The sequence below is a fragment of the Homo sapiens genome, chromosome 6 (genome assembly GCF_000001405.40).
Source record: "Homo sapiens chromosome 6, GRCh38.p14 Primary Assembly".
Taxonomy (NCBI): Eukaryota; Metazoa; Chordata; class Mammalia; order Primates; family Hominidae; genus Homo; species Homo sapiens.
The window spans coordinates 30541207-30563767 of record NC_000006.12 but is presented as its reverse complement, the minus strand read 5'-3'; the positions used below and the strand labels follow the sequence as shown (position 1 = coordinate 30563767).

Sequence of the window (22561 nt, the reverse complement as noted above, 5' to 3'; positions counted from 1 at the left end):
GAACAGCTTCATCTGCAACTCCAGAGATGACTAGAACACAGGGATTAAATAAAATGCTGGTTTCCACTGCATTTATTACTAATATAAAAAAAGTTAAAAAGAAAAAAAAAAAAAAAACCTCATTCTCAGTTCTCCAACAGCTCTCACCCCTCCCTCTTGCCAATACAACTCCTGACCCATTTCCTCAGGGCCAGTTCAAAACTGAACCTGTTCACTGCTGTTTTCACAGAAAACAACCAGTGCCAGGGATGTAGGGGAAGAGGATTGGAAGAGGGCAACAGTACTGTCCAGCTTCTACCCAAAGATAGGCAAGGTGGAGATTCACAGAATTCAAATGAATGGACTGGTGGCCTCACAATGACATAGTCTAATTAAAATGGGCTGGAAGGGATCTAGGTAGGATAAAGCCATTGGAGGCTTTATAAGACATGTCATGGGTCTGTGTCAGACTCAGAATAACCAACAGGAGAAGAATGGGGAGGGCCAGGGAGGCAGTCTGATGGAAAGTTCACAATTCTCCCATGTTGGGAAGTGGGAAAGTCCAGAGGGCACCAAGCGCCTCACTCATTTTGGCAGGAAAACTTATTCTAGTGCTGGGAAGTCACAAAAATGCCACGGACACTGAGAAAGGCTACAAGGGGATGCACAGTTTCACAAAGCACGGTGATCATAGATAGACCATAGCGGTGGGGATCATGCTACTGACAGAGAAACTATGAAATCCAAAGGCAGGGAGAGTGGCCTTTTAGGAAGTAACTCTGCACCAGTCACCCAAACTTGACCCCAGGTTAGACAACCTGGCTGAGTTTCACAAGCAGCTGACAACATTGGGGGTAGGGAATGTCACATAAAAAGGACTTAAAACAAGCAGCTAAAAGAAGGGAATGGTAGGAAACCGCTCCAGGGCTCTCAGGAATTGAGGGCAATACTGGGGAACAGGTGGACAGATGCACAAGAAACAGCACCAAAGAGGTTTCCTGTTCAGCAGTCATTTGATGACGGGAAAGAAGATCCAGGAGGCAACTGAAAGGAAGCAAAGATGGGTCCCAAAGGCGAGTCTCTACAGGCTGGATCAGAAGAAAGCGCGTATGCCGCGCACCAGTGATGCAACACCACTCTGGACCCCACACGGGGGAAGTGGTGGATGGGATGGGTGTGTCACTGACTGAGGGTGTTAGAAGAGCCTCACAGTAGCCATCATAGGGCTACAGAGAAATAAATGGCCGCTAGGTCACAGAGAGCTCCTTCCAGCCTGGATGGGAAGGCACAGTCTCACAGAGGAGGTCCATTGACGCCTGGATGGTAGAAGGCACAGAGGTCCTCATATCGACAGTGGCCCTTTTTGGCAAAATGTCGGCAGACAGGGCGGTCGGATTTGTCTGTGAACAAGTGAAAATGGAACAGTTAAAAATTTGAGCAACAAAGAAAACAAATACAATGAAACGCAGAGACAGAAGGAGAACTGATTTTCTACCCCCTACCATTTCCAGGTATTTTGGAATGGTAGTCTTTCTCCTGGGAGAAATAACATTGAGGTCTACTTCTGCTTCAAAAGCAAAAAGGAAAGCCCAGAGAAGATTGTGAATGATCTTCTGAAAATTAGGTCACTCTGGGAGTAATGGGCATAACAAAATGGACCTCACCTTCCATAACCTGGGGGTCATCCTTGGGCGGGCAGGTATTCTTGATAAGAGACCAGCTTTTGAGCCTTCGAGGGTTTCTCTGTTCCTTGTGAAAGCTTCCCCTGGTGGGACCCCCATGGCCTGGCCCCGGAAAAGGAGGTTCTGCATTGACTCCCCACCAACCACGACCATATGGGCTAGACCTGGGGCCAAGCCCTCTCCGAATTGGGCCTCTACCCCAAGGAGGAGGTGGGAGACTCAGCAGTGGTGGAATCAGTGGTCCCCTTGATCCTGGAGGACCTCTGTGAAGAGCTGGAGAGAGAGAGAGAGAGAGACACAGAAAGGTGTCTAATGGGCAGCTGAATCCTGATAAACCGTGATTAAAAAAATTTTTTTTATTGAAGAACAGCATACATAAAGACACACCAGTTTTAAGTGCACAACCCAGTTCTCACAAAGTAGACACACTTGAGTTTCCACCACCAGGTGAAGAGATAAAGCCTTATTAGCACCTCAAAAGATCCTCCCCTTGTGCCCCTTTTCCCATTACCCACCCTCCTCCCCAAAGGTAACCACTATCCTGACACCATAGGTTAGTTTTTGCCTGTTTTTGAACTTCACAAAAATGGAATCATACAGTCTGCATTCTTTTATGTCTGGCTCCTTTCGCTCAACATCATGTTTGTGAGATTCATCCAGGTTGCCTGTAGCAGCAGTTCATTCATTTTCGTTGCAGTGTAGTCCCATTGCATGCATACACAACAATTTATTTATCCATTCTACTGATGATGGACATGTGGGTGGTATCCAGTTTGGGGCTATAACGAGAAATGCCACTATAAACATTTTTATACATGTTGTTACACATACGTATGCATTTCTGTTGAATATATACGTAGTAGAGGTATTACTGGCTTATAAAGTATATGTTATGCTCAAGTTTCATACATAATGCCAAACTTTTTTTTCACAGTGGTTATACCAATTTGCACTCTCACCAGCAGTTGTCCTATAGCCTTGACAACACTTGGAATTGTTAGGTTTTTAAATTTTGCCATGGTGAGTGTGAAAAGTGGTGGTTATTTTTTTGTTTGGTTATTATTATTTATTTAATGAGAGATTGGGTCTTGCCACACTGCCCAGGCTGGTCTTGAACTCTTGGGCTCAAGTGATCCTCCCACCTTGGTCTCCTAAAGTGCTGGGATTACAGGCATGAATCATCATGCCTTGTTTTGTTCGGTTTTTATTGTGGTAAAAAACACATAAAAATTACCATCTTAACTATTTTTAAGTGTACAGTTCAGTAGTGTTACATATATTCATATTGATGTGAAACAGATCTCCAAGTTTTTGTTTGTTTTTTGAGATGGAGTCTCGCTCTGTCGCCCAGGCTGGAGTGCAGTGGCGCGATCTTGGCTCACTGCAACCTCTGCCTCCTGGGTTCAAGTGATTCTCCTGCCTCAGCCTCCCAAGTAGCTGGGATTACAGGCGCCCACCACCACGCCTGGCTAATTTTTGTATTTTTAGTAGAGATGGAGTTTTACCATATTGGCCAGGCTGGTCTTGAATTCCTGATCTCATGATCCGCCCGACTTGGCCTCCCAAAGTGCTGGGATTACAGGCACGAGCCACCATGCCCGACCTCCAAAAGTTTTTTATCTTGCAAAACTGAAACTCTGTACCCATTAAACAAAACTCCCCTTCCTCCAGCTTCCTTCCCCCAGCCTCTGGTAACCATCATTCTACTGTTTCTTTGAAGTTGACTTTATTTTTATTTTTTGTTTTGACAATCTTGCTCTGTCATCCAGGCTGGAGTGCAGTGGCGTGATCTCGACTCACTGCAACCTCTGCCTCCCAGGTTCAAGCAATTCTCATGCCTCAGCTACCCGAGTAGCTGGGATTACAGGTGTGCACCACCATGCCCAGCTAATTTTTCTATTTTTAGTAGAGACAGGGTTTTGCCATATTGGCCAGGCTGTTCTCGAACTCCTGACCTCAAGTGATCTGCCTGCCTTGGCCTCCCAAAGTGCTGGGATTACAGGCGTGAAGCACCATGCCCAGCCCCTGAATTTGACTTTAGACACCTCAGATAAGTGGAATAATACACTATGTCTTTACTTAACATAAAGTCCTCAAAGTTCATCCATGTTGTAGTATGTGACAGCACTTTCTTCCTTCATAAGGCTGAATAATATTCCATTGTATGTACACGCCACATTTATCCTTCCATCAGTGGACATGTGGGTTGCTTCCACCTCTTTGTTATTGTGAATACTGCTGCTATGAACATGAGTCTGCAAATATCTCAAGACCCTGCTTTCCATTTTTTTTTTTTTGATATATACCTGGAAGCAGGAGTTCTGGGGTAATTCTATTTTTAATTTTTTTGTCATCTGGTAGTTCTATTTTTAATTAAGAGGAACCTCTTCATATTGTTTTCTATAGTAGTTTCACCATTTTATAATCCCAGCAGCAGTACACAAGAGTTCTAATTTCAAAGTGGTATATTTTTATCTTGCATTTACTTGACAATTAATGATATTGAGTACTTGTTCATTTAGACCTTTAGTTCATTTAGATCTCCATTTTAATAAGGTGTCCTGTGTTTTTGTCAATTTTTCAAATGGCTTGTCTGGAAGAGTTCTTTATATATTATAGATACAGGATCTTTATTTGTTATATTTATTGCAAATATCTTCTATTGTATGGCTTCCTGTTAATTTCTTAATGGTATTATTTGGCAAGTTTGTATTTTGTTTTTTCTTTTTTTTGAGACAGTCTCACTCTGTCCCCCAGGCTGGAGTGCAGTGGTGCAATCTCAGCTCACTGCAACCTCCGCCTTCCAGGTTCAAGCGATTCTCCTGTCTCAGCCTCCTCAGTAGCTGGGATTACAGGCACACACCACCATGCCCGGCTAATTTTTGTATTTTTAGTAGAGACAGGGGTTTCACCATGTTGGTCAGGCTGGTCTTGAACTGCTGACCTCGTGATTCGCCCGCCTCGGCCTCCCAAAGTGCTGGGATTACAGGCGTGAGCCACTGTACCCAGCCGCAAATTTATATTTTCTAACGGAGTTCAATTTATCAATCTTTCCTTTATGGTTAGTGTGTATACGTGCATTTCTTGTCTGTTTAAGAACTCTTAGCTACTCTTAGAAAATACATTTACTTTCTAGAATAATTATTCTCTTACCTTTTATACTTAGATCTACAGTCCATTTGAAATAGATCTTTGTATATGATTATGAGTGCAAGGTGAAATTCCATTTTTTTCACATGAATATCCAATTGATCCAATATCATTTATTGAAAAGACCAACTTTTCAGTTCCATCTTCATCATAAATGAAGTGTCCACACATGTATGGGCCTGTTATTGGACTCTTCGGGACATAAGTCCTATTGACTTATGTCTATCATTGTTTCCAAACTGCATCGTTGTAACTATTGTAGCTTTATAGTAAGTCTTTTTTTCTTCTTGTATTTAGAGACAGGATCTCACTATGTTGCCCAGAGTGGCCTCAAAAACTCCTGGGCTCAAAGGATCCTCGCACCTCAGCCTCCTGAGTAACTGGGACTACAGGCGTGTGCCACCATGCCCAGCTTACAAATCTTGATATTCATAGTAAGCCCTCCCACTTCAAGATTGTCTTGATAGTCGCCTTGATATTTTGCATTTCCCTATAATAATGTGTATTTCCACAAAAACATTATGGGTGTTCTGACTTGGAATGCATGAAATCTGTTTATCAATTTGGGAAGAAGTGACATTTTTACAACATTGAGTTTTTAAATCAGCAAATATACAACTTCTCTCCATTCATTTAGGGATGGAATCCCTGATCTTTTATTTTTAAGTCCTTCCTGGGTTTTATCCCCTCCCTTGCTGTCTTCTCTACGACCTAATACAAGGATCAGGGCCCCTTCCTCCTCACCTGACTTAGGGTCGCCAGGTTTTCCATTGGCCATGGGGGGAGGGCCCAGAAGGCTGGGTGGTCCTAAGAGCAGACATGAAAATATGGTCATCAGAATGGATTAAAGGACTGATGATTCTGTTCTTAGGTGTTTTTCTTGTATTACTTATTTCTTAATTCAACCAGTAAAGTCAGGTATATTTTCAGCAGTCTTGGGAGTTCTCACCCCATCTATCTGCCCTTTTTTCTGCAAAGCTGTTTCAGGGTTTGCAAAAAGTAGATATTCAATCAAAGGGGATAATGCAGGAAAAGATACTGACAACTTTTTTTCTTCACCGTACCGTCGCTATCCAAAACAACCTAAGTGTCTCCAGACATGAACCAATCCCTCACCTTAACTGCTGGCCAGAGGACTAGTTTAGAGAAAGCTGCACCTGTACCTTTTCAGTCAAAGTCTGGATACAAACTGTCATCCCAGTCATCGCAATCTGCAACATCTCTACTACCCCTTTCCCCTACTGTTCTGCGGCTGCGCAAAAGAGCTCTTTATTCTCTCCACCCCCGCCTTCTCCAGAAAGGTCTGGGGCCGTATTGAGGTTGATGGTTCCAGTAAGAGAACTCCTGGTTCAAGGCTCCATTTGGGAGAGCCCCACTTCCATCCCTCCCCAGCGCGTGCGCCCTTCCTCCTTCCGTTACAGCCCCCTCCTTCGCACCTTATTAGCCCCTAGCCCCTTGCCCGGACGGGCTTGACAGGCATGTGCACATCCCTCCCAGACCCCTCACCGATGGGACTCCCATCCTCCTCATCTCCAGTCTCTTCCCGCTCGGGCAGCGGGGGCTGCTGCTGTGTCGGTGGCTGGTGATGATTCTGCTTCTTTCGTTTCGGCATCGTGTCTGCGGCAATGGCTGCAGCGGGATTTGGAGGGTAGTGAGGAAGGGGCACGCGGGGATTCTGTTTCCGCTTCCGGGGGGTCGGTGGGCAGCAATGCTGAGGCTCCCGCCATTCCACTTCCGGAAGGTTGCGGAGAACATCTGCGGCGGCCGCATTCCGGAGCCAACTGCCTCCCTCCGTCTCTGCCAGGCATGGCGGCAACCTCACACCTTCCCTTTGCTGCGTTTCTATAAATGCTTTGAAAAAATTACTCTTTTCTTCCCTCGCTGGAAAACACCACAACCAGCTCCTCAGAGTGTGTCACAGAGTCAACAGGCTCTCGGGCCAGAGGGCCTGAGAAGAGGACTGTCGCACCGTAAGATCGCCACATCCGGTCCTCGGTTACTATGGTAACAGCTGCAGGCACAACTTCGTGCCCTTTGACCTCCCCCCAAAAGTCCTTGTCCCGCTTGGGTTTCCCTTCTCGCCCGCTTTTGCACTTATGATCTGTAAACCTGCTCCTTATCATCGTTCCCACAAGGAATTTGGGTCCCAACAGGTCGGCACCCAGGACTCTCAGACCGCCGCCCTCCCCTAAAGACCTCTGACCGTGCCCCCGGTGTAGTCCAGCAACCTGGACGCAGTCTCGGCTTTCCACTAAGGTCAAGCCCGGGGCTTTGTAGTATAGCCTCAGCGTGTCCACGCCCCCTCTCCCCTAGGTAGTAGGCCCCGCCCTCCGCTCCGCCGCCCCCTCCAGGTGAGTGGTAGGTTCTCCCGGGAGCGCAAGGTAGTGATGACACGCGCCCCCCCTCCTCCGAACGCGAGTTGGTAGCGTCCGTGACGGAGTTAGCCTGGTCCTCCCACGCGCGCCTCCTTCCTCGCCGCCGGGGCGCCCTCTCGGTGCCACTGGCTCTCACGTGCCAGTAGCCCACCCCGCATCATCCTCTCGCCTCGCTCCTGGAGGGAAGTGACTATATCTCCCCCGTCCGCCTTCCATCGCCGCCGCGGCGGTAATTCTGTCGGGCCCGCCCGCTGACGTCACCTGCTAGCCCCGCCTCCTCTAGGGTCCCGGGCCCCTGCGGCGGGGGCTGCCCCGGGGGGCAGTCAGTTGAGGCGGCGGGAGCTCGGCGGAGGGCGGGCCAGGTGACTGGTCCGGGCCATGCCGAGGAAGAAGCCATTCAGCGTGAAGCAGAAGAAGAAGCAGTTGCAGGACAAACGGGAGCGGAAGAGAGGTCAGTGCGGGAGCGGGAGGAGGGGGCGGGGCTCGGGCTTCCGCACATCTGGAAGGAGGGGTGTGCCCGCTGCACCTCTGGGGATCGTGGGAGGGGGTCGTGGGACCGCGTCAACCCTCGCGGCCTATCGCGGAGGGGATCCCCCACCCCCCCTACATCTGGAAGGGGTGGGGAAGGATGGAGAGTTGGGGGAGGGGAATCCCTCCAGCTAGCACGGGGCGCCGTCCCCACTGCTCCCTGAAGGAGTGACTCCCCCCACGCACATCCGGGAGGGTCCCAAATAGGGTGTCTGGGAGGACTGAACATCGGAAGAAGTTGAGTGGGATGAAAGGGAGTCAGGCCGATGGGGGAGAGGGTCTTATGGCCCCTGAGAGCTGGCCAGCACTGGCGTCACCGGCCCCTCCCCGCAGGGCTTCAAGATGGGCTGCGCTCCAGTTCCAACAGCCGCAGCGGGAGCCGGGAGCGGCGAGAGGAACAGACCGACACCTCGGACGGGGAGTCTGTGACCCATCATATCCGCAGGCTTAACCAGCAGCCTTCTCAGGGGCTGGGTCCACGAGGCTACGACCCAAATCGGTGAGGGTGGGAGGGGGCGCTGGTCCCGGCTTTCCCGCCTACCCGGAAGTCAGAGCTTTGGGGGAAAGCGGGCTGCTACTGGTGAAGACGGTGGGCCTGGGATGCCACAGTTCTCCGCTAGCCACTCGGCTCCCCACAGCGGGCCACAGTCTTCCTTTCCAGAGGGGCTGGAGAGAGTTGGGCTTTTAGAAGGAGAAGGCTGAGTATTGCCTGAAAGAAGGACTTGGGGGAAGTCTGACTTGAGAGAGGAGACTTGAACGACTCTGGAGAGAATGGTTTGCGAAGTTGATTGTACAAGAGGGGAGAAAATAGGAGTTTGTGGCCACAGGATTGCTCTGGATGTCTCGGTCCCTGTTCCCTTAGATACCGACTGCATTTTGAGAGAGACAGCAGGGAGGAGGTAGAGAGGAGAAAGAGAGCAGCCCGGGAGCAAGTTCTACAGCCGGTCAGTGCTGAGTTGTTGGAGCTGGACATCCGGGAGGTGTATCAGCCTGGCTCAGGTGAGTGAGAGCAAGACAGGCATTGGGCTGGGGAAGGAGTTTGGAAAGGTAAAAGCCGACTGTGAGGAAGGAGGGGTCTGGGATGTACTCTTGAATCCTGAAGATTTCCTCACACTTGGACTTTTTCCTGAATTCCCAGTTCTGGACTTTCCTCGACGTCCTCCTTGGAGCTATGAGATGTCCAAGGAGCAACTAATGAGCCAAGAGGAACGGAGCTTCCAAGACTATCTTGGGAAGATTCATGGGGCTTACTCCTCTGAGAAACTCAGCTACTTTGAGCACAATCTGGAGGTGACAGTGTACTCTAGGGACAGGAGTGGGGCATAGTGACCTATGGTCAAATTGGTTTGGGATCAGGCTGGAGAGGGACTCTGTTTTCAGTTTCTCTTCCTGATCCTGTCTTTTTAGACATGGAGGCAGCTGTGGCGGGTGTTAGAGATGTCTGACATCGTCCTGCTTATCACTGATATCCGACATCCAGTGAGTACTAGGGATAAGGGTGGGCAAGGAGGAGGGAGAAAGGTTTTTCAGGGGCAAAGGTCAGAGGCAAGAGTTGGGAGACAGAGAGGTATCTATCTTCCTGTCTTTCTAATCTCTACCTAGTGCTGATGTCCGCAGTTAGGAACTCAGTTTTTTATTCTCTTATAGCCTGTCATTCCTCCCTTGGCCAGCTCACTCTTCTCTTCAAAACAGCCATGTCCTGTCCTTTAGCTCATCACAGACCAATAGAAAATCCAAGTGTTGGAGCTCCAGGGATTCTATGAATGCAGCTGGGGACTTCCTCCTGCCCAGCCCAAAGATGCCCTTTCTTCCTTATCTCATTTCTCTAGCACTGCCACATCAGTTGCTACAGAACCCACCTGGAATGCTAGAGTAGTAGTTAAGGCTGTAGACTGCTGCTGGACTGCCCTGTGTGAATCCTAGCTCTGCAACTTCACTCTTGTCCTCCAGTGGGAGAAAGGGAGGTCTGTGAGGACCATTTAGGTTGGAGGTCCTTAATAATATGTACACACACATACTCACACGTACATCATGTGCACATCAATATACACAGGCATGTTTGCACACATGTTCACAGTCACATTAACACACAAACATGCACACATGTGCACGTACTTGCATGCATGCATATATGCACGTGTACACACTTACATAGTTGTGCACACACAAAAAAGCAGACTAATTTCTACCCTAACCCCCATCCCTGTTTCCGATCCCAGCCTTTACCTCAGTGTGCTAAGTGATGCTGTTTCCTTGTCTTGTTTTGGGTTCATTTCCATCTCTAATCATGACCTATAGGAAGCCCTCTGAGACTCAGAAGTATTACTAACCCCTGTTTTGTCTTTGTTTTTCAGTTTGTCTGGTTTATAGTTTTTAGCCCAGAGTCTGCTACCACCAGGGCCTTGTCTCTGAGCTACACCTGCTGAGTGGGGAGCTGGAGGCAGAGAACTCTGGGTTGACTTTCACTGCTCCATCCTCTTATCAACTCTGTCCTAGGTTGTGAATTTCCCGCCAGCACTTTATGAGTATGTGACTGGAGAACTTGGACTGGCCCTGGTGCTGGTTTTGAACAAGGTGGATCTGGCCCCGCCAGCTCTTGTGGTTGCCTGGAAGCATTATTTCCATCAACACTATCCCCAGCTCCACGTCGTCCTTTTCACCTCTTTTCCTCGGGACCCCCGCACCCCACAGGACCCTAGTAGTGGTGAGTGGGCAATGAGAGAGGGCAACTTGGGAGAGGTGAGTTGGCAGGGGACAAAGGGGAGAACAGAGAGGCTTATTGACAAGGGGGCACCTGGTCTTGGGCCTAAGGGTGGTGGGAGAGATGAGAGGCCTAAGCCCGTGTGCCCATCCTTTTGTGCCCTCTGATCTCAGTCTTGAAGAAGAGTCGGAGGCGGGGGAGAGGATGGACTCGGGCCCTGGGGCCAGAGCAGTTGCTGAGAGCCTGTGAAGCCATCACTGTGGGGAAAGGTATGTGGCCCTTAGAGGAGGGCTGTAGGAGGACATGGGGGAGACCAAAGATGCAGAATCATTTTGCTCACCTTTCCTGAAGCCAACCCCTCTATGGTGGATATGTGCAAGAGGCCAGGGGAAGGGACAGAATAAGGAGCAGACTGACTTGGTGGGACGAGAGGCAGCAGGTAGTCAGGAGCCTCAGTGGCTTGCTGCCTTTAGCCTTCCCAGTACTTTTCAGAAGCTCAGAGAAACGTGCGTGATTCCAGGGAGGGTAGGGTCAAATGACTTTTGGGAGATTCTCTGACCTGCTCTTATTTAGGTTGGCACTGTACAACTCCAGAGGGTGCCAGTTACATAATCTGTGCAGGGCACAGTATGTGCCATCATGCACAGCAGCCCTGGGGAGAACCTCTTTAATCTTCTCCTTCTTTGAGCAGTGGACTTGAGCAGCTGGCGGGAGAAGATTGCTCGGGATGTGGCTGGGGCCACCTGGGGTAATGGCTCTGGGGAGGAGGAGGAAGAGGAGGATGGCCCAGCAGTCCTGGTGGAGCAGCAGACTGATTCAGCAATGGAGCCAACTGGCCCAACCCAAGAGCGCTACAAGGATGGGGTGGTGACCATCGGCTGTGTGGGTAAGGAAGTGGCAGCTTGTGCGTGGTGGCCTCCAAGGAGGTACAGAGTTTTCATATTCGGAGAAGAGAGAGGGCGATCAGGTCTCATTAGGCCCCAGGGTGTCTGAGGGGTGATCTCTGCCAGTGGCGGTGGGCAAGGCAGAAGAGGCGTCTGCTGCAGTGGAAGGATCATGACAGCCTGAGTTAAATTCCACCTCTTCTCAGCTGTGAGGTCTTGAGTAAGTGATTTTGCTACTCTGAGTCTTAGTTACTTTGATTTTAAAAATAAGGACATTGATACCTGAGTAAAAGAATGGATGACGGCCATGTGTGAGGGCTCATGCCTATATAGTCCCAGCGCTTTGGGAGGCTGAGGTGGGAGGATTGCTTGAGACCAGGAGCTCAAGACTAGTCTGGGCAACATAGTGAAACCCCATCTTTACAAAAGATAAAGAAAACTAGCCAAGTGTGGTGGTATGTGCCTGTAGTCTCTGCTACTTCAGAGGCTGAGGCAGGAGGATCACTTGAGCCCAAGAGTTCAAGGCTGCAGTGAGCTATGATTGTGCCACTGCACTCCAGCCTGGCTGATAGAGACCCTGTCTTTAAAAAAAAAGAATGGATGTGAGGAATGATGGGAATAGTGTTAAGAGAGTGTAAGAATGCCTGACAAATAGTGATAACAATAATAACAATTATTATTGTTAAAACTCAGTATTTATATGGTGCTTACTATGTAACAGGCACTGTTTTAAGTGGTTTATATAAACCATTTGAATTGTAGTAATTAGTCTGTAGTACAGTGATTATCAAATCATAGTAGGAGCTCAGCAAGAATTAGTATTCTTCTAGGTTTTAACCCTTTAAGTTTGTTGCCAAGGAGAATCTCCTCTTAAGGGCTTTGTCTCAGCTCACAGTGGAGGAAAAAGGAATGTATGATTAGGACCCAGGGCCCGTCTTCATTTAGGGTGGGAGAGGTAAGAAGAGACCTTGGACAAGTTATGGTATCTGAGGTGATATTGGAACCAAAAAGGGCCCAACCCAGAATAAATTTGGGAGTGTGGAGTAGGTAGTTGGGTTCCTTGGAAGTGCCCTGACTTATCTCTGTGTCCTTTTTGTCTTTGGAAGAACCTGCCTTACTGCTGAGTGATTGCTCCTCTTTCCAGTCATTTCACCCGGCTGTCCCTTCCCTGACTTCTGATCCTAGTCTCCCTGTCACAAGGAGCCTCTGTTCCCTCTCTTAGCAGCCTCTGCTCTAGCTGATCTCTATTCCAGGTGGTGTGAGAGGGAGAGTGTTTGCTGTGGCACAGGCACCCCTGAGTTTGGATTTCCCTCCAGCTCTCATTCATTTACCCATTCAACAAATATGTACTGAACACTTAACCAGGTGCCAGATATTCTAGGGATGGGACATACTGCTGTGGAAATGGCAAAAAGGTCTGTAGATTCATGGAGCTTATTTTCTTGTGAGTAAATAGATTTTGTGATCCGAAATCATGTAGGGGCAGTGAAGGCAATAAAGCAATGAAAGGGGATAGAGAGTGACTGAGAGGAGAGGTGCTCAGGGAAAACCTCCCTGAGGAGAGAACTGGATGATGAGATGAAGTGAGCCATTCAGAACTGTGGGGAAAGGGTCTTGAGGAGGGAACGGGCTTGGAGATTCTAGGACCAGCAAGAGTGCCCAGGGGATTGGAGTATGGGAGCCAGGATAAAGTACTGGGGATGAGGTCAGCAAGATCACCAGGGCCCACATCATGTAGAGCCCTGAGGCTGTGACAGCCATTTTGGATTTTATTCCAAGTCTCATGAGAAGCCAAGGGTAGGTTTTGAACAGGGGAATGATAGGATCTGATTTTGTTTCTTATAAGTTTACCTCCTGAGTAGAGAATAAATGATGGGGGGTGGGCAAGAAAGGGAGCAGAGAGAGCAGTTGAGGCTATTTCAGTAATCTAGGAGAGAAATAAGAGTTGCTTAGAGTAGGATGCTGGAGCTGGAGGTGGTGAGACAGGGCCGGAAGCATGATATATTTTGAAGGTAGAGAAAATGAGATCGCTGATGGCTTGCAGTTGGCACGTGAAGGAAAGTGAGGATAAAGAAGGACTTCCAGGTTTTTGTCTTGAGCAACTGGAAATACTGAGATGGGAAGACTGGGGGAGAAGCAGATTTGAAGGCTTTGGGGAGGAGAGGGGAATCAGAAATGAAATTTCAGATTCTTTTTAAATATCCCTAGTGGAGATGTTGAATAGGCAGTGGGTAAGTAGTCAGCAGCTTAGGGGAGAGAAGAGGACGGAAATTTGAATTTGGGAAAGATTTAAATTTGGGGAACCATTGATGGATATAAGTGGTATTTAAAGCCACAGGATTAGGCTGGGCACAGTGGCTCATGCCTATAATCCCAGCCCTTTGGGAGGCTGAGGCAGGTGGATCACTTGAGGCCAGGAGTTTGAGACCAGCCTGGCCAACATGGTGAAACCCTGTCTCTACCAAAAAATACAGAAAATTAGCCGTGTGTGGTGGTGCGTGCCTGTAGTCCCAGATACTCAGGAGGGTGAGGCAGGAGAATTGCTTGAATCCTGGAGGCAGAGGTTACGGTGAGCCAAGATCATACCACTGCACTCCAGCCTGGGTGACAGAGCAAGACTTCGTCAAAAAAAAAAAAAAAAAAGCCATGGAATTGGATGAGATGTAGGAGAGAAAGGAAATAGTTGGAGAAGAGGAGGTCAAGGACTGAGCCTTAGGACAAGCCAGCATTTAGTTGGGCAAAGGACAGTGAGAAGGAGGAAAACCAAGGGAGCGTCCCAGAAGTCAAATGAAGAAGGTGTTTGAAGAGGAAAGGAGGAATCAGCTGTGTCAACTGTTGCTGACAGGCCAAATGAGAGAACAGAGAGCTGCTCAGCAGGCTTGGCAATGTGAAGATCCGTGGTTTCAGTGGGGTGGAGAAAGCCAAACTGGAGTAGGCCCATGAGAGAAGGTGCAACAACTTCACATAACATTGTGTGAAAAGAGTCTGACCCAATAGCATCCATACTGCACAATTTCAGTTCTATCAAGTTTGAAAGCTGCAAAATTAAGCTGCATTGTTGAGAGATACACAGGTCATAAACTAAAGAGAAATGTAAGGAGTTGATTTCCTTAAAAGGATAAAGCTTGCATGTATAGAGGGAGAGGATTATGATCAAGAAGGATGAGTGGCGGCCGGTATGGTGGCTCATCCCTGTAATCCTAGCACTTTGGGAGGCTGAGGCAGGCGCATTACTTGAGGTCAGGAGTTTGAGACCAGCCTGGCCAACATGGCAAAACCCTATCTCTACTAAAAATACAAAAAGTTAGCCAGGTGTGGAGCCGCACGCCTGTGGTCTCAGCTACTCAGGAGGTTGAGGCACGAGAATCGCTTGAACCTGGGAGGATGAGGTTGTAGTGAGCCAACATCGCACCACTGCACTCCAGCCCGGGTGAGGGAGTGAGACTCTGTCTCAAAAACAAAAACAAAAAAAACAAGGACAGATGGAACATGTTGTCACACATTGGGTGGTATGGGGTTCATCAGGCTGCACATGTATGTTCTGTGCATTTTTTTGTATGTTGTAGTTTACAGTTACAAAGAAGATAGCAGGAAGAAATGGTGAAAAAAGTAGGTAAGTCTTTTAAGGAGTTTTCCTGCAAAGCGGACAGAGAACTAGGTCTGGTGGTGGTCGTCAAAGGAGAACTTTTTTCTCCCTCCTTCCCTCCCTTCCTCCTAGATACTTGCATGTGTTGTAAAGAGTGAGCACAGTGGTACATCTTTTCTTAGCCACAGTCAGCTGCCCAGGAGCAGTGCTGAATGGGCAGAGCTGGATTTTACAGGGTTGGGATTTTGCCAGGTGAGTAAGATAGAGGGGAGAAGTGGGACCAGGGAGTTCCAGGTCTGTGAACGGGCCTGGCTGAGGAGCTGGATCATGAAATCTGAGTCAAGTAAGAAGGAAATTGAGGACACGAGTTGGGTATTGCATAGTGTTACTGTGTTAAGGTCAGGGGTCAAAGACTTACTGGCATGGAGTAACCAGAGTAAGTGAGCTGGAAAGATGAGTTGTCAGGGCAGAGAGGGGTGCTTGGAATTGAGGCTTTGGAGCTGTGAAGTGACAAGATGCAGGTATTACCATGGGAGTGGGCAGCTGAGGTGGGGTAAAGGAGATGCTCTGTGGAAGGGAGATGAAGGCACTGAAGTCAGCCAGAAACACAAAAACTGGTGGTGGTGAGTGAGCAGAGTGGCAGTGAGCCCCAAGGCTTCCAGTTTTCTCCTTGGACAAGTCATCGTAATTATTATTATTATTTTTTGAGATGGAGTTTCCCTCTTATTGCCCAGGCTGGAGTGCAATGGTGCAATCTCAGCTCACTGCAACCTCCGCCTCCTGGGTTCAAGTGGTTCTCCTGCCTCAGCCTCCCAAGTAGCTGCAATTACAGGCGCCCACCACCACGCCCAGCTAATTTTTGTATTTTTAGTAGAGATGGGGTTTCACCATGTTGGCCAGGCTGGTCTTGAAGTCCTGACCTCAGGTGATCCACCCGCCTTGGCCTCCCAAAGTAATCACGCTGGGATTACAAGCGTGAGCCACTGTGCCAGGCCAAGTCATAGTAATTATGAGATGTGGATCACTGGTACTGGGTACTTACTGTACTGCAGGCACTGACCCACACAAGTTGTATTGGTTATCTCATTTAATCCTGACCACCCTGAGGTAGGGAGGTGTCCACACTGTAAAATGAAGAAACAGAGGCTCAGAAAGTTAGTTGCCCTGACATCACAAAGCTGGTAAGTGGAAGGGCCAGGATTTAACCCTGGCAGCCCAGAGCGTGATTTGTATTCTGCAATACCATTTCCTTAATTTCTGAGCCTTAGTTCCCCTTTTACCTATAGGTATAGCACCAAGTCCCATCACAGAGTAGAAACCTGTTAAACGTTAATTTTCCTTGCCTTCCTCAGGTTTCCCTAATGTGGGAAAGTCCTCGCTGATCAATGGGCTGGTGGGGCGGAAAGTCGTGAGTGTCTCCAGAACCCCGGGCCATACCCGATACTTTCAGACCTACTTTCTTACCCCCTCTGTGAAGCTCTGTGACTGCCCAGGCCTCATCTTCCCATCTCTTCTGCCTAGGCAGTTGCAGGTATGACGGGGAGGGTGGGTAAGGGAAAGAGAGAAGGTGGGACATTGAGGAAAGTACTGAGTGCTCATTTCCCTCAGGTTCTGGCAGGGATCTACCCTATCGCCCAGATCCAGGAGCCCTACACTGCTGTGGGCTACCTGGCCTCCCGAATTCCCGTGCAGGCCCTGCTCCACCTGCGCCACCCAGAGGCTGAGGACCCCTCAGCGGAACACCCCTGGTGTGCCTGGGACATCTGTGAAGGTGAGTTCCATGTGCCTGGCTTCGCCCCACCTGGTTTCAGCTGCTCTTCCTTACCTGCCTCGCCTTTTACCCTTCCCTGTCTCCTTTCCTCTCCTCAGAGATTCTGCCATTGATGAAGCTGCTGTCCACTCACCCCTAGATTTTTGTTGCATAGCCAGTAAGATCTCTGGCCTGGAATGTTTTGGGGAAAACTGGAAGGACTGTGTTATGGGAGTGGGAGTATAACTGGTACCTGGTTAATGCTTTCCCTTTCCATTATTCTTTTCTTCCTCCAGCCTGGGCAGAGAAACGTGGTTACAAGACAGCCAAGGCGGCTCGGAATGATGTGTACAGAGCAGCCAACAGTCTCTTGCGGCTGGCAGTGGACGGCCGCCTCAGCCTGTGTTTTCATCCCCCAGGCTACAGTGAACAGAAAGGTCAGAGCCCAGATATTCTTCCCCAGCCCCCTGCTATAGCGTAGGTAAAAGGGTGTGGGCTTTGTGGCCAGAGAGAGGGTCAAACCTGGATTCTGTACCTGTTGGCTAGCTCTGTTACTTAACATCTGTGATATTTTCCTGATCTGCAAACTGAGGGTAATAATTGACCCTTAGCATAGTGATTGTAAAGATTGAAGTTGATGTGCACAAAGGTTCTGTTCAGCAATCTGCACATAGGAAGTTGAATGAATGGATGAATGAATGAATGCCAGCAGCTCTAAAGATTATTGTTATTCCTAGTCTTTGCCTCTTCCCCATCTTTCCTTGGCTTTAGTTCTTGCTCAAAACTCTCCTCCATTTTTTTCTTGTTTTGGTTCCCCAGGCACCTGGGAGTCCCATCCAGAGACCACGGAGCTGGTGGTTTTGCAGGGCAGGGTGGGGCCAGCAGGTGACGAGGAGGAGGAGGAAGAGGAAGAGCTGAGCAGCTCCTGTGAGGAGGAGGGAGAGGAGGACCGGGATGCGGATGAGGAGGGAGAAGGGGATGAGGAGACCCCAACCTCGGCTCCAGGGTCCAGCCTGGCTGGCCGAAACCCTTATGCCCTGCTGGGTGAGGATGAGTGCTGAGTTCCTCGCCCAGCGCCATCTTCCCTCCCAGTATCTTTGCTTTTGGACTGACCTGGGGGTATCTCCCCTCTGCCACCCCAATTGTGAATAAAGATTGTTTGCTTTGTAGCCCCTTCCCCAGATGAACTGAGGTGAGAGCGGCTGTTCCAGGCTAACAGCTGTGGGAGGCTTCTCTCCTCTTCTCCCTTCTTTTTTCATGCATTCTCTTTGCAAGGGAAAGTTCTCTTAGGAGTTTAGTAGGTTCTCAGTCTCTGAAACCTGCTTCCTCTACCCATTCTCCCACTCTGCACCTTAGGAATCCCGTTATCTACATGGGGAGGGGAGGTCTAAATCCAGCTCCCTTTTGGAGTTTGTGCCATTCTCCGATTTGAGCAGCAGCCCTGTGTGCCCCCTGCCGCCAGACCTGCTCATTCCAGGAGCTTCTGGGAGAAGGAACAGTAAGAGAGGAACTGTGTCCCAAGCTGATGTCTCTTAATGAGATTTTTACAGGAATTGTTCAAATTCAGCAAATATTTATTGAGGGTCTATTGTGTGTCTTGACCTGTGCTGAGCACCAAGCATATAAGGATGTACCACCAGAGCCTGACCTAAATTTGAAGCCTGGCCATGATCAAAACCCCACCTTCAGGCACCCAAGTTTTTGGATTAAGAAGGGTGAATGATGTTCTCCAAATCCTGGGGGCTCATGCAGTATAATTCTAGGACTTCATGTTGATACAAATTTTTAGTTAAGGCAAAACGCTTGTGAAAATGTTGATTAAATGTGTACGAGTAGTTTTAATTACTGGTGAACAACTAGCGTGCACATTTATGATTTGAGCAGAACAGCCCTTTAAGTACAGTGTTAAGTTTCATTGTTTAAAAGCTTGGCAGCTACGAGTATTTGAGGTACATAGGGGCGGGCACAGAACCAGCCTCCTGAATTCCATTTACTCTGGTTTGGGGGTGGAACAAAGATGATCCAGTGCAGGGTCTGAGCTAGAACCTAGCAGGTGGCCAGAACCATTTTAGGGTTTCACCTCAGCATTTCGGCAGAAATCAGCTCTCTCGTGAGTCAGGGCACCTTAGGCTTTGCTGTATATCCCTTTGTTAAGCCAGCAGCTAGACTCCTAGATTGAATTCTTTTAGAAATGGGAGAATGAGCTTTTTTATTGACTGCCAGTGTTGTCTGTATTGGATGATAGCAAAAAGTGTAGTTGGACAGGTTGCCCACTAGATGGAGTGAGAAGTACCAGACTCCTTTTTTCTCTAAAGCAGATCCTTTCAGGATCTGAGTCACTGGGCAGTTTCTCTAATGCGAGCAGACAGACCCTGTTAACCAAGGAGCAAAGGAAAGTATATTTAAAGAGGCTAAGGTGTTTGGCCACATATTGCTTTAGGTTCATCTCCATTGGTCTCAGTGTGGACATAACTCCTGGAATTCACTCCAGTGCAAAGTTTAAATAATACCAGCATGAGAATGTACTTGAAGGTTTCCCAAAATGTGCTAGACAAGAAAGAGAAAAGGTCCCAGCTGAGAGAAAAATCCACCTGTCTCCCATCTGGGGCTCTTTGGCCTCACTGATAGAAAAGGAAAAGGGGCCCAAGCTAAGCTTACTTTGAGGGTTCATGATGTTCAGAGATGCTCAGGGGACTTCTCCGCTGCAGGAGGTGGGGTGAGGACATTGGATTCATTTCCTCAAAATATGGAGAGAAAGGAGAAAAATCAGAATTCTATTTGTACCTCTGCTTCCTGTGCTGTTTATCTTTGCTTGTCTTTATCTTTTTCCACCTCAGGGGTTTCATCAGGGGTATTTGGGAGAGTCTAGGGGTGGGGATGAAGAATTGACTGGGAGCTGAGGAGGGGGGATTTTTATGCTGAAGACCTGGCAGGAGGCAACTCCTGACACCCCCACAGGGTTAGACTGTAAAACCTCTTCCATGACTTGCTGACTCTATAGGATAATAGCAACAGGAAAAGAACTGAGGGACGTGCAGATGAGGATGAATAGGGCCCCAACACCAGTGCCTGAGGCTGAGGTTAGAACTGACTACAAAGACACAGGAAACCAAGGGCCCAGTCTCCCCTCCACGCTGAAATACGCACCCTCTTGTCTGGGTCATGTCTACTATGTGAATACTTGACCATGGAGGTCTGGGGCTCTGGTGGCTTCCATAGCTGGCTAGTCTCTTGATGGAGAGAAATCAGGGCTTCTCTCATCCATGCTGGAATTTCATTTAGATGTCAACTTCCAAGTTTCCCTTTTTCCAGATGGGATTATAGTCCTGCTTCTGGAACAGGGTAGCTGTGTGTGGTCCAGGATAGTTCAATTATCTGGCCCTTTGTTCACTTCTTACAATCATTGATACAGTCAACAAAAATTGGTTAAAAACAATATATGCCAGACATATATCCCTGAGTTCTGGGACAATAACCAAAATTGAATAAGGCAATATCCTACTCTCAAGCAATAGAGGGTAGGAATAGAATAATAATAATATAATACAATAGCTCTATAGCAGTATGTAAACTATAAAAGCATTATTTTACGTGTTTCTATTGAACTGTCATAACTAAATAAGATGGTTAGTACTATAATTATCCCAAGGATTCATTCACTCATAGAACATTTGTTGAGCAATTACTACCTGCCAGTCACTTCCAAGTGGTAAGTGAGATAGAAATGGTTCTTTGTGGCGCTCACAATTTATTGGAGAATGGAAACACAATTACAAAAAAAAAGTGTGATAAGTTCTGGGAGAAGGGTGGTACAGGATCCTGTGGGGTAGTGGTGGCTCCATATAGGAGGGACATTGGGATACTGATCAGGAAGGAGTGGGGGACAGGGCTAGAAGCTGCATTAGTATAAAGTTATGTCAGACTGCCAAAACAAAACAAACACAAAAAATCAGTAGTCTGTGGTAAAGAATTGCTATAGGAACAGCCAGTAGGGGCAGTTAAGCTGGTCTTGGTGAATCAGGGGAAGCGTCCTAGAGGAACAGATGTCCATGCTGAGGCCAAATGCTGGACAGGAGTTAGCCAGACAGGGAAATTGCATTCTGGGCAGAGGAGACAGCAAAGGTCAAGAAACATGACAACTTTGGAAGACTGTAACTTGTTCAGAGGCAGAGGGTGCAAAGGAGAAATGAGGAAAGGTGAAGCTGGAGAGGTGGGCTTGGTCCAGCTCTTGCTGGGCCTTTTCAGCCGTGTTAAAGATTTAGACTGTATCCAGAGGGATGTTGAACTTTAAGCCTAAGACTGAAAAGGTGAGAATTGTGCCTTAGATCACTATGGTTGCAGTGTGGAGACTGGTTTGGAAAGGGGAGAAATCAGAGGCTTTTACAGCCATCCCAGGGAGAGAGAATGAACACCAGAATTAGGGTAATGGAAGATGGAAAGAAGAGAAATCGTTTTATGGGTTGCTCAGGAGATAGAATTGACATGTCTTGGGATTGTTTTGCTGTGTAGGGGAGAGAGACAAGTCAAGAGTATACATCCTGTTTCTGACTTGGCAACTGGGTGGGTCATGGGTCTGTTTCCTGAGACAGTTGTCTACAGCCATACCACCGTAAGCGCCCTAAATCTCATCAGAGACAGTTTATGCAAATGGAGCTTGGGGAAAGAGAGGTCGTGGCTGGAGACAGAGATTTGGGCATCATCAACATATAGGTGTGGGGAGCAGAGAAGGCTGAGGAAGAAAGCAGGAAACATATAAAAAGGAGAGCAGGGAAAGGAGCCAGTGAGACAGGAAAAACCTAGTAACGTGGTGTGATGAAGCTAGGGGAGGAAGGAAGGAAGGAAGGGCGGCGTGGAACGCTGCTGATGGGTGGTGGCGGGGAAAATGAACGAGTATCCACCAGCAACGAGAGGGGCCTCCATGGTCTTGGTGGGAGCATTTCTTTGGAGAGGTGGAATCAGAAGCCCCAGATGTCAGAGGGTTAAGGAATAATTTGGAGGAAAAGCGTAAAGGCAGTGGAGGTGAGGAGAGAATTTTCAAAATGTTTGGCAGTGATTGCAATGAAAGAAAAAAATGGAGGGAGCAGAGTATATGCAGTTGAGGAACTTTTTTAGTTTGGAGTGTGTTAACACGATGTTAGGAAGAAGGATCAAGTGAAGGAGAAAGGTGAAAATGCTGGAAGGTGGGGCTTAGTGATGAAACAAACCTTGGGGACAGGTGGGCGTGGTACTGAGAGTCCCAGTGAGGGGAGTGCCCTCAGGCAGGCGCCGGTGGCTTCTGTCACAGGAGGGAACAGCGCTGACATTCAGCTGGTTCGCACTGATACGGCTCAACCAGTTTGTTAAAACATGTCTGTTCCAGTGTCAGTAATATACGAGTAACTGCAATATGCAGTAAAAATTATAAATTCTAATACAAACTCAGTTCAAGCTAATTAAGAGATCGCAACAGCCGTTGGTAAATGGACTTCCCGCTGCATTTGAGAAGCTTTGCAGCGCCATCTGCCGGTGTCGTAGCATCACTGCAGGCTGAGAGGCTGCTTTGCGCCTTCATCTTGAAGCACTCTGAAATTGCCTGTTTAAATTACCTTGGAATCATGGAGTTGCTACTGCTTCTGAATAGTTTAGCTTCTACTTTGATTTTATTGTTAGTGCATTGTCGTTCTTGTGTCAGTAGCAAGTTTCAGTGTTTTAATATTTACAAATACAAAAATTTTTAATAAAATATTAAAGCCAAACTTGAATGAAGAGACAACAAAGTTTGGATATGTTTCTTTATGTGCCTTTTGACATATCATAAATGAGAATCTTTTGATTCCTCAGGAGAACAAAGAAGAAATATTAATGAGCTGCAGCCAGGAATGTTTTCTGTTACTGTGTAAAAATCAGAATAATATGGAAATCATTTGCAACTTTTTATTTTGAAAAA

At 47.9% G+C, this 22561-nt stretch overlaps 2 protein-coding genes across 5 annotated transcripts, besides 3 other annotated features; one reads left to right on the top strand and one right to left on the bottom strand.

The window, feature by feature from the left end:
- Positions 1–44: 44 nt before the first annotated feature.
- On the bottom strand, positions 45–7059 carry PRR3 (proline rich 3). 4 transcript variants are annotated; one of them, NM_025263.4, is made up of 4 exons: positions 6318–6473; positions 5556–5618; positions 1644–1934; positions 45–1379 (listed from the first exon to the last, which is right to left on the bottom strand). In NM_025263.4, the coding sequence occupies exons 1-4, from the start codon at positions 6421–6423 to the stop codon at positions 1273–1275; spliced, it is 567 nt and encodes a 188-aa protein (NP_079539.2). In that variant the 5' UTR covers positions 6424–6473; the 3' UTR covers positions 45–1272. The 4 variants fall into 4 exon arrangements, with proteins under 4 accessions (NP_079539.2, NP_001070965.1, XP_047275337.1 ...); NM_001077497.3 differs by lacking the exon at positions 5556–5618 and having other exon boundaries at positions 6318–7059; XM_047419381.1 differs by lacking the exons at positions 45–1379; positions 1644–1934 and adding an exon at positions 2003–2440 and having other exon boundaries at positions 6318–7059.
- Positions 6306–6870: an enhancer, noted in NCBI's record as "H3K27ac hESC enhancer chr6:30524675-30525239 (GRCh37/hg19 assembly coordinates)". NCBI's record gives its function as "activates a minimal SCP1, AML or CMV promoter by ChIP-STARR-seq in primed H9 embryonic stem cells {active_cell/tissue: H9 hESC(primed)}" and the evidence as "EXISTENCE:reporter gene assay evidence [ECO:0000049][PMID:30033119]".
- Positions 6871–7435: an enhancer, noted in NCBI's record as "NANOG-H3K27ac-H3K4me1 hESC enhancer chr6:30524110-30524674 (GRCh37/hg19 assembly coordinates)". NCBI's record gives its function as "activates a minimal SCP1, AML or CMV promoter by ChIP-STARR-seq in primed H9 embryonic stem cells {active_cell/tissue: H9 hESC(primed)}" and the evidence as "EXISTENCE:reporter gene assay evidence [ECO:0000049][PMID:30033119]".
- GNL1 (G protein nucleolar 1 (putative)) lies at positions 7279–22387 on the top strand. Its single transcript, NM_005275.5, has 12 exons — positions 7279–7637; positions 8048–8213; positions 8577–8713; positions 8853–9004; positions 9122–9193; positions 10211–10418; positions 10589–10684; positions 11107–11301; positions 16238–16416; positions 16494–16656; positions 16932–17072; positions 17455–22387. Exons 1-12 carry the CDS (start codon positions 7565–7567, stop codon positions 17694–17696), a joined length of 1824 nt encoding a protein of 607 aa, NP_005266.2. The 5' UTR covers positions 7279–7564; the 3' UTR covers positions 17697–22387.
- Positions 7436–8001: an enhancer, noted in NCBI's record as "NANOG-H3K27ac-H3K4me1 hESC enhancer chr6:30523544-30524109 (GRCh37/hg19 assembly coordinates)". NCBI's record gives its function as "activates a minimal SCP1, AML or CMV promoter by ChIP-STARR-seq in primed H9 embryonic stem cells {active_cell/tissue: H9 hESC(primed)}" and the evidence as "EXISTENCE:reporter gene assay evidence [ECO:0000049][PMID:30033119]".
- Positions 22388–22561: the final 174 nt, after the last annotated feature.